General features: G+C 51.1%; 1 protein-coding gene and 1 long non-coding RNA gene across 6 annotated transcripts, besides 3 other annotated features; one reads left to right on the forward strand and one right to left on the reverse strand.

Annotated features, from left to right (window-relative positions):
• Positions 33-941: an enhancer, noted in NCBI's record as "H3K27ac-H3K4me1 hESC enhancer chr17:47300636-47301544 (GRCh37/hg19 assembly coordinates)". NCBI's record gives its function as "activates a minimal SCP1, AML or CMV promoter by ChIP-STARR-seq in primed H9 embryonic stem cells {active_cell/tissue: H9 hESC(primed)}" and the evidence as "EXISTENCE:reporter gene assay evidence [ECO:0000049][PMID:30033119]".
• On the reverse strand, positions 125-7546 carry PHOSPHO1 (phosphoethanolamine/phosphocholine phosphatase 1). 5 transcript variants are annotated; one of them, XM_047435505.1, is made up of 4 exons: positions 7336-7546; positions 3406-3517; positions 2415-2536; positions 125-1890 (listed from the first exon to the last, which is right to left on the reverse strand). In XM_047435505.1, the coding sequence occupies exons 2-4, from the start codon at positions 3448-3450 to the stop codon at positions 1005-1007; spliced, it is 1053 nt and encodes a 350-aa protein (XP_047291461.1). In that variant the 5' UTR covers positions 3451-3517; positions 7336-7546; the 3' UTR covers positions 125-1004. The 5 variants fall into 5 exon arrangements, with proteins under 5 accessions (XP_047291461.1, XP_047291460.1, XP_047291462.1 ...); XM_047435504.1 differs by having other exon boundaries at positions 7227-7546; XM_047435506.1 differs by lacking the exon at positions 2415-2536 and having other exon boundaries at positions 125-1763.
• Positions 438-507: an enhancer, noted in NCBI's record as "active region_12358". NCBI's record gives its function as "activates an Ori minimal core promoter by ATAC-STARR-seq in GM12878 lymphoblastoid cells {active_cell/tissue: GM12878}" and the evidence as "EXISTENCE:reporter gene assay evidence [ECO:0000049][PMID:35858748]".
• Positions 942-1849: an enhancer, noted in NCBI's record as "H3K27ac-H3K4me1 hESC enhancer chr17:47301545-47302452 (GRCh37/hg19 assembly coordinates)". NCBI's record gives its function as "activates a minimal SCP1, AML or CMV promoter by ChIP-STARR-seq in naive and primed H9 embryonic stem cells {active_cell/tissue: H9 hESC(naive and primed)}" and the evidence as "EXISTENCE:reporter gene assay evidence [ECO:0000049][PMID:30033119]".
• Positions 7547-15035: 7489 nt separating the features above from the next.
• LOC124904022 (uncharacterized) lies at positions 15036-16030 on the forward strand. Its single transcript, XR_007065836.1, has 2 exons — positions 15036-15073; positions 15809-16030. It is a non-coding gene; the product is annotated as an uncharacterized LOC124904022 (long non-coding RNA).
• The last annotated feature ends 8422 nt before the right edge of the window (positions 16031-24452 follow it).

A 24452-nucleotide genomic window follows, 5' to 3' on the forward strand; every position in this document is an offset into this window, starting at 1 on the left:
TGTGTTCATATGTGGCTGGGCACTTGCCCAAGAGTGGGAACGATCTCCATGACTTAAGCGGGGCTCTCCGAGAGCACCTCACTGTCAACTCTGAGACTGTCGCGAGAGAGATCTCAGTCATTTCTTCCCCCTTCACCTCCTTTATAGTTGTAAAACACCAGAGGAAGGAGGGGCTTGGGTTTCGCTGGTTCTGCTTAAAAACATGGCTTTCTGTTCCATGGGGGGTGGGGGGGATGCGTGGAAGGCCCAGCCCGCGAGGGTGACTTTGGTGAAGTCCCTGGTCTCTTGCTGCATAGACGAGGCTGGGATGCAAGGAGACACCGTCACTCTCTGCGAGGTTACTGGCTGTCCGGACCCGAGCCGGACGGTGCGCTACCTCGTACCACCACCAGGAGGCGATTGTTCCTCTGGCTTTTCCTTTGGGGGTGCTAGAAGGGAGTGCGGGGGTCGGGAGGCAAGAGAGTGTGGACAGCACAGAAATAGTGTGGGGTCGCGGTGGGTGAAGCAAGATCGCAAAGGCCTGGGGCCATAGGTGGAGACCCTCTTCTGCCTCTGTGGGGAGTTCTTGCGGCCAGGAGAATTTCAGGATCCTGGGTTCCCTCCACAGTAGACTGGAGGAGGGGCGGTCACGCAGCCCGAGGCAACAAGTTACAGCGGCGGGAGATGTTCCTTCTCTCACCTGCCGGGGGGGCCCCTTCCTCCCAGTTGGGAGGACCAGGAAATACTGCTGCCTTCCAAGGTTTGCGCGCCACCCCGCGATGGGTCAGACTCCAGAACTCAACCGTGCACAGTGGAGTGGGGGAGGCAGCCGAGGTGGGTTAACTGAATAGATAGGGACGGCTCTGAGCCCCCTTCCCCAAGCCCCCAAATACGAGATTCCAGAAATTCCCAGAGGGACATAACAAAGCCAAAGGGAAAAGGGAGTAGTAAAGCTGTCTTTGCCGAATCTCCCTTCCCCGCCCCCTCCGCCGTTGGCCCGGGTACCCCCCTGCAGGCGGCCAGACTCAGCACGACTTCAGCACCTGTTGCAGGTGGAGGCGCACATCTGCAGCCGTTTCCCAGGGCACCACGCTGGCGCGGAACGAGCTGGGCTCGGCCTTCTGGGCCTCCTGAATGAGGCGGTGCATGGGGTAGCCGCGGCGCGGGAAGGCCACGTCGCCGCCCGCCAGCAGCCCCATGGGGCAGAAGTCGTTGGCGCCGTCGCCCACGTAGAAGAGGCGCTCGAAGTGCACGCCGTCGTGGGCCCGCTCGCGCAGGTAGTCGCTGAGCACCTTGTGCTTGCACATGTTGGCGGGGCAGCGCGCGCAGCTGTGTGTGTGGAACGGCCGCAGAGCCAGCAGTCCCCGCGCATCCGGCCCCGACGGGTTGCTGAGGATGCGGCGGAACAGGCTGTGGTGGCCGGCGGCGCGCAGCGAGCTCTCCACGCCAAAGGTGTTGGCATCGGAGATGAGAATCACCTCGAAGCAGGCGCCCTGTTTTGCCACAAACTGCAGCAGGTCGCTCATGCCTGGCGACAAAGGGATGGCTTCGTAGATGGCGCTCAGGTCCCGCGGCCGCACGCCCTGCTCGCCCAGGTACTTGAAGACGCGCTGCATGTACTCGTTGTAGAAGCCCTCGCGGTAGGTGGCTCGCAGGCTCTCCGGGAGCCGCTGGCCCGGCGCGGCGCGCACGATCGAATCGTCGCTGTTTTCGTCCACGATAGTCTCGTCGAAGTCGAAGGTCAGGAGGAAGCGCGGCGCGCCCTGCGCGGCCATCCTGCCGTCCTGGGAGCAGGGGGGAGAGCAGCAGGAGGAGGAGGAGGAGGGGGCAAGCGAGAGGGGGCGCGGCAGGAGCCCGCCCGGGAGAGGCTGGTTAGCGGGCCACGGCCAGAGGCGCTGGCACATCCAACACCTGAGGAGGACCCAAGTCTGGTTAAGCTGGGAGGAGTACCCAATGCCACCACCTCTATCCCCAGCCTTCCCTGACTACTCCAGTGGCACCTCTTAGTTAACTGCAGTGGGGTTTATGCCCAGAGGGCTTCTCGGCACCTGTTTCCCCTACTCTCATCGAGGGCCAATGGGGCTTAACAAGGGTCAAAAGAAGGGAAGAGCAGCTTCCAAGGATCACCACTTTGGGGAGGTTTCTGGACTGGACTGTTTTGGAGACTTCCAGTGGCCCCTGTTGTTGGTGTGGATCAAGAAAGGGTGGTGGGAACTCTCCCCTCCCTCATTCCCTGAGGTAGAGTCAAGGGAAACCAACCACCCATCCACCCAACTGGACCAGTTTCCTCATTCTCCTTTTGGGCCATGGGGAATCTATGGCTCTCTGGGAGCTGCTTCTAGCCCAATGGCACTGAACAGGGGTCTAGGGATGGGGCACAGCTTCTTCGGGGAGTTTTAGGGCCCTGTGCTGACAGCTCATCACTAATCACTTGCCAATTCCCCAGGAGGAACGTGTCAGCAGGTGGGGTTTCTGCCAGAGTCCGAAGCAAGCGGGCAGCAGGAGAAGCAGTGGGGCTTGGGGAGGTAAGAGCCTCCCGCACCAGGCCATGACACACCTGGGAGACAGGTAAGGGAGAAGAGAAGAGAGCAGCAGTGGCTGAAAAGGCAGAGGAGTGGGAGGGGCCAGGTAGTGGGGACTTGGGGGGTGTGGAGGAGAGGGCTGAGAGGAGGTCATTCTAGGGGATCTTGGAGACAGACTGCTGGACAGGAAGACAGAGTAGGGGTAGGGATAAGGGAGTTCCAGGAAGCGGAGACCTTGGGCCAGATTCTTGTTGGAGGGGAGGGTGGTAGGCAGCATGGGAGAGGACAGAGGACAAGAGGGGACATGTCTGGGCACAAGGAAAGGCAAGCAATGGAGGCAGCAAGAGCCCTTGGCAGCAAGTTTCCATCACCTTTGCCTGCCAGTGTGTGAGAGGCGCAGAGGGGCAGTGAGCAGGTGACATGCAGCTTCCAGATACCCACACACTGCTTTTCTCCCGCCCAGCTCCCACCCCAGTTAATTGAGATGGGATTGTTTCTCTTTCTGGTTTCTTCCTAAGCCCCTCTCTCATATTCCTGGTGTGCTTATGGCCTGGCACACCTTGTGAAACAGAAACCCAAGCTCCTCATTTCGGAGCTGGGATTTCGATTGGCTATCTGCCTCCCTAACCAAGCTGTCCCTTCCACCTCATCCCTAGAGTCACCCTCTGGTCTCATCAACATCCAGTGGGCATTTCAGTGGCCCAGGATCCTTCAAATTGCAGATATAAAGCATCAGGACCCCACACCTGGGATGGAAGCTTCTAGGAATTAATGAAGCCCCAGTAGAGGTGAGGGTAAACCTAAAACGGGCTGGATAGGGCCTCTCCCAAGGCCCTATGGAAAGGTGATGGGAAACTGGGGGCTGAGGCCTCATCCTAGGAGACCCCTGGAGGGACCCACTTACCCTAGATAGGCAGCGGAGGCCAGAAACTGGAAAACAGCCACTCATTGTCGGTGCATTACCGTGAGCACCACCTGTAGGGACTCTGTTGGCCTCCAGCCGTCGTCACACGTTCCTGACAACCACAAAAGTTCATTTGAGGGTGCCCAGTCAGCTGACTTTGCTTCCACCAGGAATACCCACCTGGCCCTGGTCCTTCTGCTGAGCTACAGGAGGCATTCCCAGGGTCTTAGCAAAAACAACCCCTCAAATAGGCCCAGTGCCTACAACTCTAGAGAGGTTTCAGATGGTATTGGAGACCCAGAGAAGTTAACTGACTTTCCCAAAAGTCACCCACTGTAAATGGCAGACAGATCTCAAACCCACATCTGAGCCTGAGTCCAGTGTTTTTTCTCTAGTATCATCATTGTCCCTTAAATGTGTTTGACACATCATAGTTTACAAATCACCTTCACTCATATTCTCTCACTACTCATCAGTCATGAATTCAGCCAATGAGAAGGGCTCAGAGAGGTTAACTAACCAGCCACGCTGTTTACATGGGGCATAGACTGCTTCATGAACGCTTGACTGCAGCTTTGCCTTCCTCATGCCCTCAAAAAGGAAGGAGCTGACCAAAGCTTACTATACCATAGCTGGGGTCTGGGACCCCCAGCCAGGTCTCACAGATGATCTGGGAATGGCCTCCCTGTTGCTCTCAGGGGTCCGGCAGTCACACAGAAGAGTCAGGTTGAAATCTTGGCAAGACTTTGGTGTGGCTTTGGGAACTGGGTTTAACCTCTTGGGGACTTCACCAAGACAGTGGCAAAGGACACCACCTACAGCTTCCAGTGCCTCTCTACTCTCCCACCTGTGCTCCTGGGGTTGAATGAGACCAGAAGCAGCTGGGACAAGATTTGGAAAGATAAAGAGAGCCAGGAGACAAGACCTTGAGAGAAGCAGAGGTCTGGCTGGCTGCTGCCCTCTGGTGGTGACAATGGTGACACTGTAAACCCCTCTGTCAAGGTGACACTCTCCCCTGACTATTCAGGAGGGAGAAGCAATCGCCCCAGGACAGAGACGGGGACATCCCAGGAGCAGGGTACAGGCTCTAGCAATATCCATCTTGCGGTACTCCCTCCCTCACAACAACCAGACCACACATGTGTTAAATCCTTCTGCAGGGATGGAATGCGGCTCTCAGTTTTTTCCAAGAACTTCTAATCTAGGAATTAGGAGAGGTGGTCAAAGCTGAATGAAGCAGTGGGCAAAGAGAGGGTGAGGGATGGGAGAGAAGACAGGTCAAGGAGGAGGTGGGAGAGAAGGGGAGGGTTGCATGAGGGACAAGGAAATGGCATGGGTTGGAGCTGTCCCCAGTCCCTATCTGGAGGGACTTCCAACCTTCCAGATTCCCAGCTGATATCACATGTCCAACCTCAGCCAGGCGATTTATAAGAGAAAGGTCAGGGATGCCACTCCCCTTGTAAAAGCAAACATGCAGCATCTGGAGAAGCAAGGGGTAGATACAAAGATTCCAAGGGGTCACCAACAGCTACCCAGAGACCAGCTTTCATCCTATAGAGAAGGGTCTCATTACTTTGCCCTTCCTTCCTTCCTGTCTCTCTCCTTCCTTCCTTCCTTCCTTCCTTCCTTCCTTCCTTCCTTCCTTCCTTCCTCCTTCCTTCCTTCCTTCCTTCCTTCCTTTTTTCTATTCTATTGATCATTAATTATGGTCAAAACTTCTCATTTTTTCAGCCAGGCAGGGTGGCTTAAGCCTGTAATCCCAACACTTTGGGAGGCGAGGCAGGCAGATCACTTAAGTCTAGGAGTTTGAGACCAGACTGGGTGACATGGCAAAACCCTGTCTCTTTAAAAACAAAAATTAAGGCCGGGCGTGGTGGCTCATGCCTGTAATCCCAGCACTTTGGGAGGCCGAGGCAGGCGAATCACGAGGTCAGAAGATCGAGACCATCCTGGCTAACATGGTGAAACCCTGTCTCTACTAAAAATACAAAAAATTAGCTGGGTGTGGTGGCGGGCGCCTGTAGTCCCAGCTACTCGGGAGGCTGAGGCAGGAGAATGGCGTGAACCCGGGAGGCGGAACTTGCAGTGAGCCGAGATTGCGCCATTGCATTCCAGCCTGGGCGACAGCGAGACTCCGTCTCAAAAAAAAAAAAAAAAAAAAAAATTAGCTGGGTATGGTAGCTTGTGCCCATAGTCCCAGCTACTTGGGAGGCTGAGGCACGAGGATCACTTAAACCCAGGAGACAGAGGTTGCAGTGAGCTGTAATGGTACCACTGCACTCCAGCCTGGGTGACAGAGGGAGTAACCCCATCCCCAACACACACACACACACACACACACACACAAAACTCCTCATTTCTCATCATAAAATACAGTTACATTTTTCTGCTAATAATAGTATCTAGGGGATTCAGTTAAACACTTATTGTTTGGTGAGTTGCCCTTGTTTCTTTCAGTCTCCAAGGCAGAAAGTCAGGCATCTTGGGTTTCTTCCCCAGAAAACTGAGAAGGCCATGCTGTGACACCTCGTCCCCACCCCACAGGAGTCAGAGGAACCCCTTCCCCAGTTGGAATTTGGCTCCTGTGATGCTCCAAAAGGTCTCTCACCTCTGACACCTTTGTTCTGAGTCATCAAATCCTTTTGTGGTCACCAAACAGAGTCCCTCAGAGTAGGGGGCAGGATCTGAGCTTCTCTCACAGGCCAGAGCAGGGAGAAGGGCTTCTGGGGGGTTGCAGGGAGTCCATATTCTAGTCCCACCTAAAAGCAGTGCCTGCCTCCTTAATTCTGCACCGGGTCACAGATCCCTGCCTGCTTCTCCCGCCTTTCACACAAATGCTCTTAGATTAAATCTGTGGGAAGGGGGTGGGAGGGAAACAGGCCCCTCTCTGATACAGGCCCTAAGTTTCAAATTCCCCTCTTACTGGGCAGATGGAGTTCCTAGAAAAGTTTTGGGATAGTTTTCCAAAGGAAATGTGCAGAATGAGGATGGGGAGGCGAGGACTCCAGAAAGACCACAGTAACAAGCCCTCTCTGTCCAAAAACAAGTCTCCTTGTATCAATCACTAGAAATCAGATCCAACAACTAAGCTAGAATTCCCTCCCTTTCCCAGACAGTGCTCCCAAACATGACCATCTTCCTTGCTCACCACGCCCGAGCAGCAGATAGGAAAAACAGAGGCCCAGAGAGGTCAGGCTAACATCCTAGGGGTCACACAGCATCGGAACCGCGATTAGAACTCAGGAGTCTCTGGCGCCTCTTGGGAGAATTGCAGCTGGAGCTCCCCCCTTGGCCCTGGAGACTCCAGTGGGCAGGGAGCTTGCGGTCCTGACCAGCTGGCGGTGGTGGCCCTGCGCCCTGGTGCCAGTGAGGCGTCTGGGTCTAGCAGTCACCTCTGGGCACTCCCTGGGTGGGAGGACAAGCTGGGAGGGGATCCTAGGGGCAGGGGCAGGGGCAGGGAGGTGGCAGCTGCCGGTAGGGTTGGGGGAGAGATATTTTTAGAGGTGACTAGGAAGCCAGCACTCTGGCGCACCCCCGGCTGGCGGGCGCTGGGCTCCAATGCGGGCGGGGGGTGCGCGGCTCGGGGAGGGGTATTGTGGGTGGCAGGGAGCAAGGGGACACCAATTCCTTGGCTTTGTCAGAGTCGGGGACGGAGGGATACCCCAGCACTATGTTCCTGGGTAGGAGAGAGAAGGGGACTCACTCCTGAGCTCCAGAACTCCCCCAGTGCCACGCGCGTGAAGGAGCGCCTTCAAACTCCACAGCCCCCACCCCGCGCCGGGACCCCAGCCCTCCCCTATCTCCCGGAGCCCAGGACTCACGTGGGGGCGGCGGCAGCAGAGGTCTGTCCCGGCTGAGTTTGGAGTGTAAGAAGTGGGGAAGGGGGCTAGCTGAGGTATTGGGGCGCAGGATGGAGCAAGGGGTGCTTACGGGAATTGGAGGGGACGCGGTGTCTTATCCACCCCCGGATTTCTGGGCTCCGGCTCACGAGTCCCTCCAGTCCCGAGGGACTGAGGATGATGTGCGTCTGAGCCGTCCCCTCCACTTGCCCCTCATCCCCCCCGGGCAGCCGCCGCGTCCCCTTTAAATGCCCGGGAGCCGGAGCCGGAGCCGGAGCCGCGGCCGGCGCTGCGGCTGCTGCAGCAGCGGAGCCCACCGCAGTCCCCAACGTCACAAGCGACTGTCCAATCGCAGCGGTGCCGGCGCACATCAAAGGGGCGGGCCGCCCGAGGCCACGCCTCCCTCCTGCCCCGGAGGCTCCGGGAGCGCCAGCTAAGGTGGGATTAGGCTCTCGGGGAAAGGGTAGCAGGGTGGGGATGGAGCGCTGCCCTTCCGAGGAACGTGGGTGGGGGCACCCTCACTAGAGCGGCTGTGGACATACGCTAAATCCCTGCCTACACACCCAAAATTGCTAGGGCTGTGGACTTTCTCATCCGCCGCCTCCAGGGCTTCGGTTCTTGAGATTTGCAGAAGTGCACCTCCACCTCCTGCCCATTCCGCTGTCGCGTCCTAAACCCAGTGGGAGGCACGGGATGACCCAGCCCTCGGGACCCTTTTCCCCAGATTATAGGTTACTGAGGATTGCGGGGGTTGGCGGGAGGAATGACTCCCTACCCCCACCCCCGCCCGTAAAGTTGGTGGAGCGGGTGGTGACAGACAGTTTGCCCCTTTTGCAGATGGCCCTATAAATAAAAAACGCACTTTCTCCCCTGCTTCCTAAGAGTGTGTTTCTCCCCCACCCTAATCTCCTCCTTTTGGCCCTCAAAGCCTGCTAGTGAAGAGAAGGAGAGAAGATAGTGTTTCGAGAGGAAAGACGTGAAACTAGTATTTACTGAGAACATACTATGAACCGGGCATTCGAGCTAGGTCGCTGCGTTTATGGCTGAATGTTCACAACACTCGAGAAATTATTTGCCTAGCCGTTCAAACCCGGACACACCTGACTCCATTGGGTCACAAAGGGGTGTGTAGGTGGGGAGAATGCACTTTGGGAGGCCAAGGTGGGAGGATCGCTTGAGCCCCGGAGTTCGAGACCAGCCTGGACAACATAGGGAGACCCCATCTCTACAAAAAATTAAGAAATTAGCTAGGCATTGTGGCATGTACCTGTAGTCCCAGCTCTACTCGGGAGGCTGAGGTGGGAGGATAGCTTGAGCCTGGGAGGTGAAGGCTGCAGTAAACTGTGATCACACCACCACACTCTAGCCTAGGCGAAAGAGTGAGACCCTGTCTCAAAACAAAACAAAATAAAACAACAACAAAAAAGAGTGAGCTTGTCTGGGGTCACCCAGCTGGTAGGGCTGGGGTATCATACTGTCCCTCTCATTGTCTGTCATCCCTCCTCTCCTGTAAGCAACATGAGGACCATGTTTGTCTTATTGATGTACCCCCATCCCCTAGCATAGGCAGCCTGGCTGGTGCACAGTGGGCCTTATAGATGTTTGTTGAGTGAGGCCAGGTGCAGTGGCTCATGCCTGTAATCTCAGCACTTTGGGAGGCTGAGGCGGGTGGATCATTAGAGGTCAGGAGTTTGAGACCAGCCTGGCCAACATGGTGAAACCCCATCACTACTAAAAATAGAAAAAAAAAAAAAATAGCCAGGCATGGTGGCATGCACTGGTAATCCCAGCTACTCGGGAGGCTGAGGCAGGAGAATCACTTGAACCCGGGAGGCAGAGGTTGCAGTGAGCCAAGATCATGCTGCACTCCAGCCTGGGCGACAGAGCAACACTCCATCTCAAAAAAAAAAAAAAAAAAAAAAAAAAAGATGTTGAATGAAACAAGTCCCCTGCTGTGTTTAGCTCTAGGTTAGTGCTCCATTTGTGTTCCTTCACTTTGTCTTCACAATAACAGATTGTTCCAGTGTTATCCCCATGTTATTTTATTTTATTTATTTTTGAGACAGAGTCTCGCTGTGTCTCCCAGGCTGGAGTGCAGTGGCGTGATCTCGGCTCACTGCAACCTCTGCCTCTTGGGTTCAAGCGATTCTCCTGCCTCAGTCTCCCAAGTAGCTGGGATTACGGGCACCTGCTCCCATGCCCAGCTAATTTTTGTGTTTTTAGTAGAGACGGGGTTTTACCATGTTGGCCAGGCTGGTCTTGAACTCCTGACCTCAGGTGTTCAACACTCCTTGGCCTACCAAAATGTTGGGATGTTGGGATTACAGGTGTGAGCCACTGTGTCCAGCCTATCCATCCCCTCCCCCTCCTCTTTTTTTTTTTTTTTTTTTTTGAGATGGAGTTTTGCTCTTGTTGCCCAGGCTGGAGTGCAATGGCGCGATCTCCGGCTCACCACAACCTCGGCCTCCCTGGTTCAAATGATTCTCCTGCCTCGGCCTCCGGAATAGCTGGGATTACAGGCATGTGCCACCACACCCAGTTAATTTTGTATTTTTAGTACATGTTGGTCAGGTTGGTTTCAAACTCACAGCCTCAGGTGATCCACCCACCTTGGCCTCCCAAAGTGCTGGGATTACAGGCGTGAGCCACCACACCCAGTTTATCCATCCCCATTTTATAAAGAAATTGAGACTCAGAGATAAAAGGACTTGTTCAAGGTCACACAAGTGCCCTGGAGGCAACTGATTCAAATCCTAACCTTTTGAGGCAATTAGCAGCAGTTTCAGCCTGGTTTCCTAATTCACTGATGGGGTTAGGGAGGGTAGGCAGATAACTTCCTTTGGCCACTGGTGGCTTCAAGTTTTTACTGCGGAGTTCTGCCTTCAGCCAGGTGGTGGGAGTGCCAAAGCTCGTGGGTGCTACCTAGAAACCGCCTTTGTGAAAAAGCTGTAGAAACTCCTAAAAGCCAGCTGGGCGTGGTGGCTCACGCCTGTAATCCCAGCACTTTGGGAGGCCAAGGTGGGCGGATCTTGAGGTCAGGAGTTCAAGACCAGCCTGGCCAACATGGTGAAACCTCGTCTCTACTAAAAATACAAAAATTAGCTGGGCATAGTGTCATGCACCTATAATCCCAGCTATTTGGGAGGCTGAGGCAGGAGAATTGCTTGAACCTGGGAGGCGGAGGTTGCAGTGAGCAGAGATCATGCCACTGCACTCCAGTCTGGGCAACAGAGCAAGACTCCGTCTCAGGGGGGAAAAAAACCCAAAAAAACTCCTAAATGCCAAAAGCATCAGGACACAATTCTACCTCTCTTTCAGCTTTCTTTACTTTCCCTTTTCCTTGTACCAGTGAGTTGGATGATCAGTCAGGTACCTAAACATGGGGATAGAAAGGGAATGGGAAACCCATCCCCCATTCGGTTAAGACCTCTGCCCAGCACATGGGCTGTAGATCCTCTTCTCCTCATGTGAGTTTCACCTTAGGACTCAAGTCAGCCAACCTGGCAGAGATCTTGTGAACAGGAGTCATCTTAGGTGACAGTGTAACCGCCCAAGGGGTTCGCCTTGTCTGCTGCCTAGGATAGCCGATTTATCAAGACAGGGTAATTGTAATAGAGAAAGAATAATTCATGCAGAGCCAGCTGTGCTGGAGACTGGAGTTTTATTATTACTCAAATCAGTCTCCCTCAAAACTCTTTTATTATTACTCAAATCTGTCTCCCCAAAAACTCGGGGATCCGAGTTTTTAAGGATAATTTGGTGGGTAGTGGCCAGTGAATCGGGAGTGCTGATTGGTTGGCTCAGGGATGAAATCATAGGGAGTGGAAGCTGTTCTCTTCTGCTGAGTCAGTTCCTGGGTGGGGGGCCACAGAACTGGTTGGCAGGTCCAGGTGGGGCCCTCTGGTTGTTAGAAATGGAAAAACCTGAAAAGACATCTCGAAAGGCCGATCTTAGGTTCACAATAGTGATGTTACCTTCAAGAGTAATTTAGGGAAGTTGCAAATCTTATAACCTCCGGAATAATGGCTGGTAATATTTAGAATTCCAGCCCCTTTCATCTTGACTTGGTGGCTGGTGGCCTTTCATTAGTTTTACCAGAACAGTTTAGCCATTTGGGAAGGGCTATTATATAAACTATACACTAAATTTCTTTCCAAAGCTAGTTCGGCCTACGCTTAGGAATGAACAAGGACAGTTGAGAAGTTAGAAACAAGATGGGGTCAGTTAGGTCTGATATCTTTTACTATCATAATTTTCTCAGTTATGATTTTTGCAAAGGTGGTTTCAATAGGGCTCACTTGAGTTCCTGGTGAACCCTGACTCAGGCTGCCAGGGACAGCTCAATCCACCTGGTCTTCAAAAGAGGGTGTGTCACTTGCCCAAGGTTTCAGTGTTAGAGCCAAAGAGGCCAAGAGTCCAAGAATGTGGCCTCGTGCTCTCCAGCTGGCCTCCTTCCTGGTGGTGGGAGATGCAAAGGTGGGAGGGAGGGGCAGATGGGCATGAGTTCAACCCGCACACTCCACCTGGGAAGGATGAACGAGTTTTGGGAATCAACTAGGTACCAGGCACATGATCCCCCCACCACCCTGGAAATAGGGTTTAAGCGCAGCATTCCCATTTTCTTTTTTCTTTTTTTTGAGACGGAGTCTCTTTCTGTCGCCCAGGCTGGAGTGCAGTGGCACGATCTCCGCTCACTGCAAGCTCCGCCTCCCGGGTTCACGCCATTCTCCTGCCTCAGCCTCCCAAGTAGCTGGGACTACAGGCGGCCGCCACCACGCCCGGCTAATTTTTTGTATTTTTTAGTAGAGACGGGGTTTCACCGTGTTAGCCAGGATGGTCTCGGTCTCCTGACCTCGTGATTCGCCCGCCTCGGCCTCCCAAAGTGCTGAGATTACAGGCGTGAGCCACCGCGCCCGGCCAGCATTCCCATTTTCACACATGAAAAAAGCAGAAGCTCTGGGACATTAAGAAAGCGCCTTGCGGGGAGCAGGGAGGAGGGGCCAAGGTTGAAAACCCATGTATTGGGTACTGTGTGCTCACTTCCTGAGTGACAGGTTTAGTCATACTCCAGACCTCAGCATAACACAATATAGCTATGTGTTGTTGTTGTTTGTTGTTGTTGTTGCTGTTTTTGAGACAGAGTCTCGCTCAGTTCCCAGGCTGGAGTGCAGTGGGGTGATCTCAGCTCCCTATATACCTTTATAATCTGCATGTGTATCCCTGGAATCTAAAATAAAAGCTGAAAGACAAAAACAAACAAACAAAAAACAAAGAAAGCGTCTTGCCCAAGGGCTCCGTGTGGCAAGTGGTGGTCAGGCTGGATGGTGGGTGCAGGTCTGCACTGCTCTATCTGCCCCCCAAAAGCAGAAGGACAGGGCCCTCAGTGATCTGAGGACTGATGAGGGTGGGCTCAGGAGGAAGAGGCCACCGAGGGTGTCCTCGTGCTGGCAATTCTGCAAGATGTGTTGCAGGGCATTCTGCGACTAAAACCTTGTGCTGGGGGTTAGTGACCAGGGCTGACTAGACCCCTTTCTTGGCTTCACAGTTCCCTTCCAAGACAACGAAAAGCACATACTGCATGCTCAGCACTAAGAGGCTCCACTTACTTCATTCTCACATCAGCCCTGTAATCTACTCATTCTCCCATTTTACAGATGAGAAACAGGAGGAACAGGATGTATGTAACTTGCCCAAGGTCACAGAGCCAAGAGGTGGCTGAAGCCAGACTTGAACCCAGGCATTCAGCTAAGAAACTGCATTCTTAAGCAAAACATCACAAGACCTGCTCTAGAGAAAGTGTTCCTGCCTCCTGCTAGGCAAGGTGATGCCCTAGGGGAAAGGAAGGAGGAGAAAGGTTTGTGTTCTTAAATTAAGTATTTTCTTTAGGGATCGCACCTTTTGACCTACTAAGGTTGAGAATTCCTTGAGTTTTGGCTTAGAGAACAGTCTGACTTGCAATCAGGGTAGCTGAGTTTGAACTTGTGTGACTTGAAACAAGATGCTCTTGTTTGTGTTATTTGTTTATTTAGACAGAGTCTCACTCTGTCACCCAGGCTGGAGTGCAGTGGCGTGATCCTGGCTCATTGCAACCTCCGCCTCCCAGGTTCAAGCCATTCTCATGTCTCAGCCTCCTGAGTAGCTGGGATTACAGGGGTGCACCACCACACCCAGCTAATTTTTGTATATATATATATATATATATATATATATATATATATATATATATTTTAGTAGAGATGAGGTTTCATGTGTTGGCCAGGCTGGTCTTGAACCCCTGAACTCAGGTGACCCGCTTGACTCGGCCTCCCAAAGTGCTGGGATTACAGGTGTGAGCCACCACACCCAGCCATAGACAAGTTGCTCCCCTTTGGACCTCATCTCCCTACTTGGGCAGAAGCTTGTCAAGATCTGACTGGTTTTGAGGATCCTTTGTTATTTAAAGAGACTAGAGAGGGAGTCTTGGTTGGCTCCCCCTGCTCCACAGCATAGTAGAAGCAAAACTGCCTCCAAGAACCCTCATTTCCAAACCAGAGCTAGCCTGAGCGTTTCCTCTCCTCAGAGCCCCAGAAGAGGTCCAAAGGGCAAGGCTAGAGCAGGGACAGGGGCTAGAGGGATCTCAGGAAGTACAGGAGGAGCTGGGGGCAGAAACATCTCTGCTCCCTTCTCTGCACAGGCAGCAGCCTGCCTGGTCACCTGGGTCCCCAGCCCAAGGACGGCTCTGTAATAAACACTTTTGAAATATTCTGGCCTGTGTCCTAGAGTTCACTCAAACGCGCAGAAACCTGTCTGCTTCCCCTGTGGCACTCGGGCATTCACCAAATCTGCCTCCCATCCACTTCCCCCTAGAGTAAGGCTTAGTTTTATTTTCCAACCCTGGGCTGTGAATTGGTCCTCCAAAGTCTAGTAACTGGCTCACGTATCACCCTGTGGCTCTGGCTAGCCTGCTAAACCTGAGTTTTGAATTGACCTTTAATTGCTCTAAATGTGCTACCCCACCCCACCCCATCCTGGGAAGATTCGGGCAATGATATAGATCAAGGCTTAGATCTTTTTTTTCTTTTTTCTTTTTTTTTGAGATGGAGTCTCGCTCTTGTCCCTCAGGCTGGAGTGCAGTGGTGCAATCTTGGCTCACTGCAACCTCTGCCTCCTGGGTTCAAGTGATTCTCCTGCCTCAGCCTCCTGAGTAGCTGGGATTACAGGTGCCTGCCACCAGGCCTGGCTAATTTTTTTTATTTTTAGTAGAGATGGGGTTTTGCCATGTTGGCCAGGCTTGTCTTGAACTCCTGACCTCAAGTGATCTGCCCACCTTGGCCTCCCAAAGTGCTGGGATTATAGGTGTGAGCCATCCACCCAGCCAAGGCTCAGATCTTTGGAGCCAGATCCTGCAGGTAGTGGTGGACAGTCTATATTCTCCTGCCCTCCCAGGCATCCCTGCAACATGGCATTCATTTGCTTGTGCTCTCATTCATTCAATGAATATAATGAAATTAACTGCATCCGGCCCTGGGAAATATGATATTGAACAAGACATAGATCCTGCCCTCTAGGAGCCTTTTTTTTTTTTCTTTTTTTTTTTCTGACAGGATCTCACTCTGTTGCCCAGGCTGGAGTTCAGAGGCGCGTGCAGTCATGGCTCACTGCAGCCTCGAAAGACTCAAGCTATTCTCATACCTCGGCCTCCCGAGTAGCTGGGACTACAGATGTGCATCACTATGTCTGATAAAAATTTGTTTGTATTTTTTGTAGATGGGGTTTCGCCATGTTGCCCAGGATGATCTTGAACTCCCAGGCTCCTCCTACCTTGGCCTCCCAAAGTGCTGAGATTACAGGTGTGAGCCACCTTGCCTGGCCTCAGAAGTTTATAGTCTAGAGAAGAGACCTGGCAAGCAAACAGCCCTTTCCAAACAAGCGTGAGGGGCTTCCAAACAAGCCCTTTCCAAACAACTGGCAGATCTGCTGTGCCCACCAGGGGAATTCTGTCCTGTCTCATCTTTTTTTTTTTTTTTTTTGAGACAGAATCTCACTCCGTCGCCCAGGCTGGAGTGCAGTGGCGCAATCTTGGCTCACTGCAATCTCCGCCTCCTGGGTTCAAGCAATTCTCATGCCTCACCTTCCCGAGTAGCTGGGATTACAGGTGCCCACCATCATGCCCAGCTAATTTTTGTATTTTTAGTAGAGACAGGGTTTCACCATGTTGGCCAGGCTGGTCTCTAACTCCTGACCTTAGGTGATCTGCCTGCCTTGGCCTCCCAAAGTGCTGGGATTACAGGCGTGAGCCACCGCACCTGGATTGTCCCATCCACTTCTTGTTATTGGTTGCTGTGGGCGGTCCCCTCCTCTCACCCCTCCACCTGCCCTTGGCAGCTTAGAGATGATACCCCATCTACATCCCTCCTTCCCTGCCTTCCCCAATCCCAGGCCCCTCTCCCTACAACAGACTCACCCTGACAGAGCTGTCCACTGTCCTCCTCACTTAGCAGCAATAATGGGGGGACCATGGCAGGGGAAACAGGACAGAGAAGTGAGTGAACAAACAAACGAACCCATTTTCTGTCATCCAGCAGATACCCACAACAGGTGAAGGAGAGAAAGCAGTCCCACAGACACCCTTCTCTGCTGGAAAGTCCTTCCTATCTGACTCCAGTCCCACTTGCTGGAGGAGTTCCCCTCATTTTGTTTCTGAGACAGCCTTCTTCTGTGTAACAACTATTCAGAGACTTGAAATCTGCCTCTCTGGTTTCTTCTGTCTTTGCAAATGTCACATTAAAGAGAACAAGGTAACTTGGTCTCTGCCTGCCTTGTGTTAATTCTCTAACCATGTCTGTGTCCCAGTCCCCCTCACTCTGCCCTTTAACCACACACGCCTTCTTTCCAATTTTATTTTATTTTTTTTTTTGAGACTGAGTCTCACTCTATTGCCCAGGCTGGAGTGCAGCGGCGCGATCTCGGCTCACTGCAACCTCCACCTCCCAAGTTCAAGCGATTCTCCTGCCTCAGCCTCTCGTGTAGCTGGGATTACAGGTGCCCATGACCATGCCTGGCTAATTTCTGTATTTTTAGTAGAGACAGGGTTTTATCATGTTGGCCAGGTGGGTCTCAAACTCCTGACCTCAAGTGATCCACCCGCCTCGGCCTCCCAAAGTGCTGGGATTAAAGGCGTGAGCCACCATGCCCAGCCTCTTTCCTAGTTTCAAAAGAAAACCACAGGCCCTTTGCACTTGCTATAGCCTCTGCCCAGGGTATTTCCCAACCCATCCATGGCTCCTCACTGAGCTCAGGGCTGAGCTACAAGGAAGCTTGTCCTGCTCTCCCTGTCCCTCCCCACCCCAGGATCAGGAGCTCCCACATTACACAGCTCCACAGCACCTTTACACTTCTCCTGGGTGATTAATTAATGTCTTCCTCCTGTCAGCTTTGAGAGGACAGCGATCGCAGTAGCTTTGTTCTCATAGAATCCCCGGTGCCTAGCACAGGCCTTGGCCCATAGTAGCTGCACAGATAAATATTTGTTGCTTGAATGTCTGTAGGATTCTCAATCTAGTCAACTTGTATAGGCTGTTGTCTTAGACCTGGAACCAGACCAAAGCAAGCTGGCCCAACCTTGGTTGTGTCCTAATTTGGCCATCTGACTATGAATATGCTAACAAATGACAGGCTTAGCCTCCAGCATTTCTTCCATTCCTTCCCTGGAGCAAGCTCCCCCACCAGCAATCTTCCCAGCCCTAAGGCAGGTCTGTGTTGATGGGGCTAGAGGCCAGAGGACTGGTTGATCTGATCACTCAATTCCTTCTGCCTAACTTCAGAAGCTTCTTCCAAAATAAGAGACCTTTTTTTTTGGATTTTTTTTTTTTTAAGATGGAGTCTTATTCTGTCGCCCAGGCTGGAGTATAGTGGCACGATCTCCGCTCACTGCAACTTTTGCCTCCTGGGCTCAAGTTATTCTCCTGCCTCAGCCTCCTAAGTAGCTGGGACTACAGGTGCGTGACACCACACCTGTCTATATATATATATATATATATATATATATATATATATATATATTTTTTTTTTTTTTTTGTATTTTTAGTAGAGACAGGGTTTCACCATGTTGGCCATGGCTGGTCTCGAACTCCTGACCTCAACTGATCTGCCCACCTCAGCCTTCCAAAATGCTGGGATTATAGGCATGAGCCACGGCTCCCAGTGGAGACCTTTATGTTTTTAATGGGTTGTGTAGCCCACAAAACACCCTTTGTCATTCTCACTATTTTTCTGATAAGGAAAATGAGACTTAGGGAGATGAGGTGACAAGTCCAAGGTCATACAGTTAGGAAGGTGGCTAAGGCAACACTTGAAGTCTTGTGAAACCAGCTGGTTTTCTGCAGGGGATGTGCCAACCAGCAAAGATTCTCAGATTCTGGGCTTTTTGGCAGTTGTTTGATTCTTTTTTTTCATTCATTCATTCATTCATTCATTCACTAATTTGTTTAGGAGATATAAGCTCCAGTCATTGCCTTCAAGGAGGCCAAAGTCTCAGTTTGGCATTTTGAATCTAAGGTCTGGTAATGGTCTGAAATGATTGTGTGTGTATATATATATATATATATATATATTTATTTATTTTAGTGGAGACGGGGTTTCGCCATGTTGGCCAGGCTTGTCTTGAACTCCTGACCTCAAGCTATAAAATGTATATACTATATTTTATAAACTATATATATAAATATAAACTATAAAATATATGTTTATGTTTTATTATTTTTTATTTTATTATTTTTTATTATAGTATTATATTTATATTATTTTTATATATTTATATTATTATATCTGTATTTTACTATTATGATTATTTTTGAGACGGAGTCCCACTCTATCGCCCCGGCTGCAGTGCAGTGGCACAATCTCGGCTCACTGCAACCTATGCCTCCCGGTTTCAAGCAATTCTTCTGCCTCAGCCTCCCGAGTAGCTGGGATTACAGGCACCTACCTGTAAAAAGTAGCCCGGCTAATTTTTGTATTTTTAGTAGAGATGGGTTTTACCACCTTGGCCAGGCTGGTCTTGAACTCCTGACCTCTTGATCCACCCGCCTAGGCCTCCCCAAGTGCTGGCATTACAGGCATGAGCCACCACGCCCAGCTGATTTTATATATATTTTAGTGTTTATGTACATATGTGCATTTTTCTTGCAAACTTTCTTTTTTTCTTTTTTAATTGCTTGGCAGAGCATTGAACTTGCAAACTTTCAGAGGGTTCCATGACACCCTGTCCCCTGACCTCCCTTCATTGCAAAAAGGTTAAGAACTGCTGGTATAACGAATGCTATGCAGTGTAAACAGATGGCAGCCCATGTACTCATCAGTATCTCCTGCCTGTTTGGGTGACTGAGGCCCCAGCATGTGACCATCTCTGGCCCAAGTGATAACCTGGGTGTCCGCACCTCATGACCCATCCACGGCACTGCTGACCTGTGACAGCTCCTCTCAGAAGATCAAACACATAGAAATACACACACACACACACACACACACACACACGCACATGCACTGACTCCAACACCCCCAGATTCACAACTGCTCTTGAATCCAGAGAGATCCTGTAACCATCTAATGGGTTCGCCTTGCCCATTGCCTAGACAGAGCCGATTCCTCAAAACAGGGAAATTGCAATAAGGAAAGAGTAATCCACACAGAGACAGTTATGCAGGAGACCGGAGTTTCATTATTACTCAAATCAGTCTCCTTGAGCATTTGGGGAGCAGAGTTTTTAAGGACAACTTTTGAGGGGGGGTTGCGGGGGTGAAGCCAGTGAGCCAGGAGTGCTGATTGGTCAGGGATGAAATCATAGGCAGTCGAAGCTGTCTTCTTGCTCTTAGTCAGTTCCCCAATGGGGGCCACAAGATCAGATGAGCTCATTTATCTACCTGGGTGGTGCCAGCTGATCCATCAAGTGCAGGGTCTGCAAAGTATCTCAAGCACTGATCTTAGGAGCAGTTTAGGGAGGGTCAGAACTTTGTAGCCTCCAGCGGCATGACTCCTGAACCATAATTTCTAATCTCGTGGCTAATGTTAGTCCTACAAAGGCAATCTAGTCCCCAAGCAAGAAGGAGATCTGCTTTGGGAAAGGGCTGTTATCATCTTTGTTTTCAACTATAAACTATGAACTGAGTTTCTCCCAAAGTTAGTTCAGCCTATGCCCAGGAATGAACAAGGACAGCTTGGAGGTTAGAAGCAAGATGGAGTTGGCCGGGCGCGGTGGCTCACGCCTGTAATCCCAGCACTTTGGGAGGCCGAGGCGGGTGGATCACCTGAGGTGGGGAGTTCGAGACCAGCTTGACCAACATGGAGAAACCCCATCTCTACTAAAAATACAAAATTAGCCGAGATCGCACCATTGCACTCCAATCTGGACAAAACAAGAGCGAAACTCCATCTCAAAAAAAAAAAAAAAAAAAAGAGCAAGGTAGAGTTGAGTAATTTAGATCTCTTTTACTGTTTCAGTCATAATTTTGCAAATGCTCTTCCATTCCCTTGATCTTTCTCTTTCTCTGCAGTGTTAGTGACACATAGCACTGCCCATGATGGCTATATATATATATATATATATTTTTTTTTTTTTTTTGAGTCGGAGTCTTGCTGTGTTACCCAGGCTGGAGTGCAGTGGCATGATCTCGGCTCACTGCAACCTCCCTTCTGGGTCAAGGGATTCTCTTGTCTCAGCCTTCTGAGTAGCTGGGACTACAGGTTCATCCCACCATGCCTGGCTAGTTTTTGTATTTTTAGTAGAGATTAGAGATGAGGTTTCACCATTTTGGCCAGGCTGGTTTTGAACTCCTGACCTCAAGTGATCTGCCTGCCTTGGCCTCCCAAAGTGCTCGGAATACAGGCATGAGCCACTGTGCCCAGCCCGTGATGGCTACATATTGAAGGCTTGTGTGTGTCAGATCCTATGATCCTTACACCTTCATGTCTTATTTTTTCTATTTCTTTTTTTTTTTAAATTAAGAGTGTCCATACTAGTACTAACTTGCTCTCAAGTTTCTAAATGTTTTTTTGTTTGTTTTTCTTTTGAGACAGAGTCTCACTCTGTCGCCCAGGTTGGAGTGCAGTGGTGCGTTGGTGGCTCACTGCAACCTCTGCCTCCTGGGTTGAAGCAATTCTCCCATTTCAGCCTTTGAGTAGCTAGGACTACAGGTGAACGCCACCATGCCCAGCTAATTTTTTTGAATTTTTAGTAGAGACAGGTTTCCCCATGTTAGCCAGGCTGGTCTCTAACTCCTGGCCTCAAGTAATTCACCTGTCTTGGCCTCCCAAAGTGCTGGGATTACCTGTATGAACCACCAAGCCTGGGCTCTCGTGTCTTTTATATATATATATTTTTTGAGATGGAGTTTTGCTCTTGTTGCCTAGGCTGGAGTGCAATGGCACAATCTCAGCTCACTGCAATCTCCACCTCCCGGGTTCAAGCTATTCTCCCGCCTCAGCCTCTCAAGTAGCTGGCGATTACAGGCATGCACCACCATGCCTGGCTATTTTTGTATTTTTGGTGGAGACGGGGTTTCACCATGTTGGTTAGACTGGTCTTGAACTCCTGACCTCAGGTGATGTGCCCGCCTCGGCCTCCTAAAGTGCTGGGATTACAGCCCTGAGCCACAACGACCAGCCCCCTCATGTCTTTTAATCCCCACAACAGGCCTGTGAGGTTTGGAACTTGCCCCATTCACATGGCTGGGAAGAGATGGAGGTGAATAAGAGAGCATTGTGGGGGTCAGTGGGGGGTGTGAAGAAACCTGAATGTGTTTAAGATCCTTCAGGGATGGACCCGACTATTCACTGTGCCAAAATCATTCTTGTCTTCATTCTTTCATTCTACCGCTATTTCTTGTTTTTGTTTTTGTTTTGTTTTGTTTTGTTTTTGAGACAGAGTCTTGCTCTGTTGCCCAGGCTGGAGTGCAATGGCACGATCTCGGCTCACTGCAACCTCTGCCTCCCGGGTTCAAATGATTCTCCTGCCTCAGCCTCCCGAGTAGCTAGGATTACAGGCGCATGCCACCATGCCTGGCTAATTTTTTTGCATTTTTAGTAGAGATGGGGTTTCACCATGTTGGCCAGGCTGGTCTCAAACTTCTGACCCCAAGTGATCCGCCCGCCTTGGCCTCCCAAAGTGCTGGGATTACAGGTGTGAGCCACCGTACCTGGCAATATTTCTTGAGAATCTTCTAAGTGCCAGGTATGTGTTGGGGACTGTGGTGACCAGCTTCCAAGATAGCCTGATGTTGCCCACCTCCTGATGTCTGCACCCTTGGGTAGTCCCCTGCCAGCAGGACCAGGAAGCAAAGGACCATCACTTCCAACATTAGGTTATGAGAGACTGCGGCTCCTGCCTTGGATGCTCTCTCACTCTCTTGCCCTCCCTCTTCTTTGCTTGCCCGCTCTGGGGCAAACAAGCTGCCACAGTGTAAGCAGCCCTATAGAGAGACCCACATGGGAAGGAGCCAAAGCCCCTGCCAATAGCCAGTGAGGAACTTGGGTCTGCCAAGCACCACATGGGTGACCCTGGACACAGCCTGGTCAGGCTCCAGCCCTGGTCAGGTCAACGTGTGAGCCTGGACACAGCCAGGTCAACCCTCCAGCCCTGGTCAGGCCTTGAGATGACTGCAACCTCATGAGGACCCTGCTTGCAGAAACTGGGAGACAATAAATGCTTAGTGTTGTAGGCTGCTAAGTTATGAGGGTAATTCGTTACACAGAAATAGAAAACTAGCCAGGTGTGGTCGCTCGTGCCTGTGAGTTCCCAAATCCCAGCACTTTGAGAGACTGAGGCTAGAGGATCACTTAAGCCCAGGAGCTTGAGACCAGGTTGGGCAACATAGTGAGACCCTCCATCTCTGTAAAAAAATTTTTTTAAAATTAGGAGGGCAGACCGGACACAGTGGCTCACGCCTGTAACCCCAGCACTTTGGGAGGCCGAGGCGAGTGGATCACCTGAGGTCAGGAGGTTGAGACCAGCCTGGCCAACATGGTGAAACCTCGTCTTTACTGAAAATACAAAATTTAGCTGGGTGTGGTGGCAGGCTACCCAGGAGGCTGAGGCAGGAGAATCACTTGAACCCAGGAGGTGGAGCTCACGCCACTGCACTCCAGCCTGGGCGACAAGAGCAAAACTCTGTCTCAAAAAGAAAAAAAAGAAAAGAAAAAGAAAAAGAACTAAATCAGGGATATATCAGTAAACAAAATTGACAGGGCTCTTACATTCTATGGAGGACGCAGACAGTAAACACAAGAATTAAGTTTAAAAAAAAACCTGGCCGGGTGCGGTGGCTCACGCCTGTAATCCCAGCACTTTGGGAGGCCGAGGTGGGCAGATCACCTGAGGTCAGGAGTTTGAGACCAACCTGACCCAACGTGGAGAAACCCCATCTCTACTAAAAATACAAAATTAGCCAGGCATGGTGGTGCATGCCTGTAATCCGGGAAACTGAGGCAGGAGAATCACTTGAACCCGGGAGGCAGAGGTTGCGGTGAGCCAAGATTACGCCATTGCACTCCAGCCTGGGCAACAAGAGCAAAACTCCATCTCAAAAAATCAAAACAAAACCCTTGACCAGGCACAGTGGCTCACGCCTGTAATCCCAACACTTTGGGAGGCTGAGGCAGGAAGATCAGGTCAGGAGTTTAAGACCAGCCTGGCCAACATGGTGAAATCCAATCTCTACTAAAAATACGAAAATTAGCATACAAAAATTAGCTGGGCGTTGTGGCAGGCATCTGTAATCCCAGCTACTTAGGAGGCTGAGGTAGGAGAATTGCTTCAACCTGGGAGGCGGAGGTTGCAGTGAGCCGAGATCACGCCACTTCACTCCAGCCTGGGTGACACAGCAAGACTCCATCTTGGAAAAAAAAAAACAAACAAACCCCACAAAAATCCCAGTGTATTAGAGAGCAGTAAGTGCTTTGGAGAAAATTAAAGCAGGGAAATGGGGTAGACATGAGAGAGGCTTTATTTATTTATTTATTGTTTTTTTTGAGACAGGGTCTTACTTTGTCACCCAGGCTGAAGTGCAGTGGCTGAATCTTGGCTCACTGCACCCTCCACCTCCCAGGCTTAAGCCATCCTCTCCTGCCTCAGCTCCCCAAATATCTGGGACTGCAGGCACACGCCACCATGCGGAGCGAATTTTTTATTTATTTTTATCTTTATTTTTTGAGATGGAATCTTACTCAGTTGCCCAGGCTGGAGTGCAGTGGTGCAATCTTGGCTCACTGCAACCTCTGCCTCCCAGGTTCAAGTGATTCTCCTGCCTCAGCCTCCTGAGTAGCTGGCACCACAGGAATTGCAATTTGCATGCAGGAATACTGACATTTCAGAGGTCTTCCAATAGTTATTGGGATAACCGGTAAACAATCTAACTCCAGCTTAGTGGCTGTAGTTGTAGGTTGTTATTTCTGGTTTCCCTCTTTGGAGCAAGCAACATACAAAGTGTGTCTCCATAGCACAGCAGAAAATGCCAAAATAAGGACTTGACCTGTCCATTTGGCTTGTCTTTCCTCCTGGTAACAGACTTGTTGCTCATAAGTGACCCACGGCCTGAGGACGCCCTCCTCCTATGCCCTTCTCCCCCTCAACCCAAGGATGCCTGCTTTGTCCTAGAGTGCATCCTTAGAGCCTGCTGGGGCTCCCCGCCAGCAGACCCATGGCCATAGCTACCATATTGACCAAATCAAGATGGACAGACAGTGCAGCAAGCCTGAAGTTATACTTAGAGGATGAAGGGACATCTGGGCTTTCCTAGAAAATGGAAGGCATGGCCGGGCGTGGTGGCTCACGCCTGTAATCCCAGCACTTTGGGAGGCTGAGGTGGTGGATCACTTGAGGTCAGGAGTTCAAGACCAGCCTGACCAATATGGTGAAATCCTGTCTCTACTAAAAATACAAAAATTAGCCAGGCGTGGTGGTGCATGCCTGTAATCCCAGCCACTAGGGAGGCTGAGGCAGGAGAATTGCATGAACCCAGGAGATGGAGGTTGCAGTGAGCCAAGATCACACCACTGCACTCCAACCTGGGTGACAAAGCAAGACTCCATCTCAAAAAAAAGAAAAAAAAAGAAAATGGAAGGCATGGCCGGGTTCTGTGGCTCACACCTGTAAGCCCAGCACTTTGGGAGGCTGAGGCGGGCAGATCACTTGGGGTCAAGACCAGCCTGGCTAACATGGCGAGACCCCGTCTCTAC

Source organism: Homo sapiens, chromosome 17 (assembly GCF_000001405.40).
Source record: "Homo sapiens chromosome 17, GRCh38.p14 Primary Assembly".
In the NCBI taxonomy this organism is placed as follows: domain Eukaryota; kingdom Metazoa; phylum Chordata; class Mammalia; order Primates; family Hominidae; genus Homo; species Homo sapiens.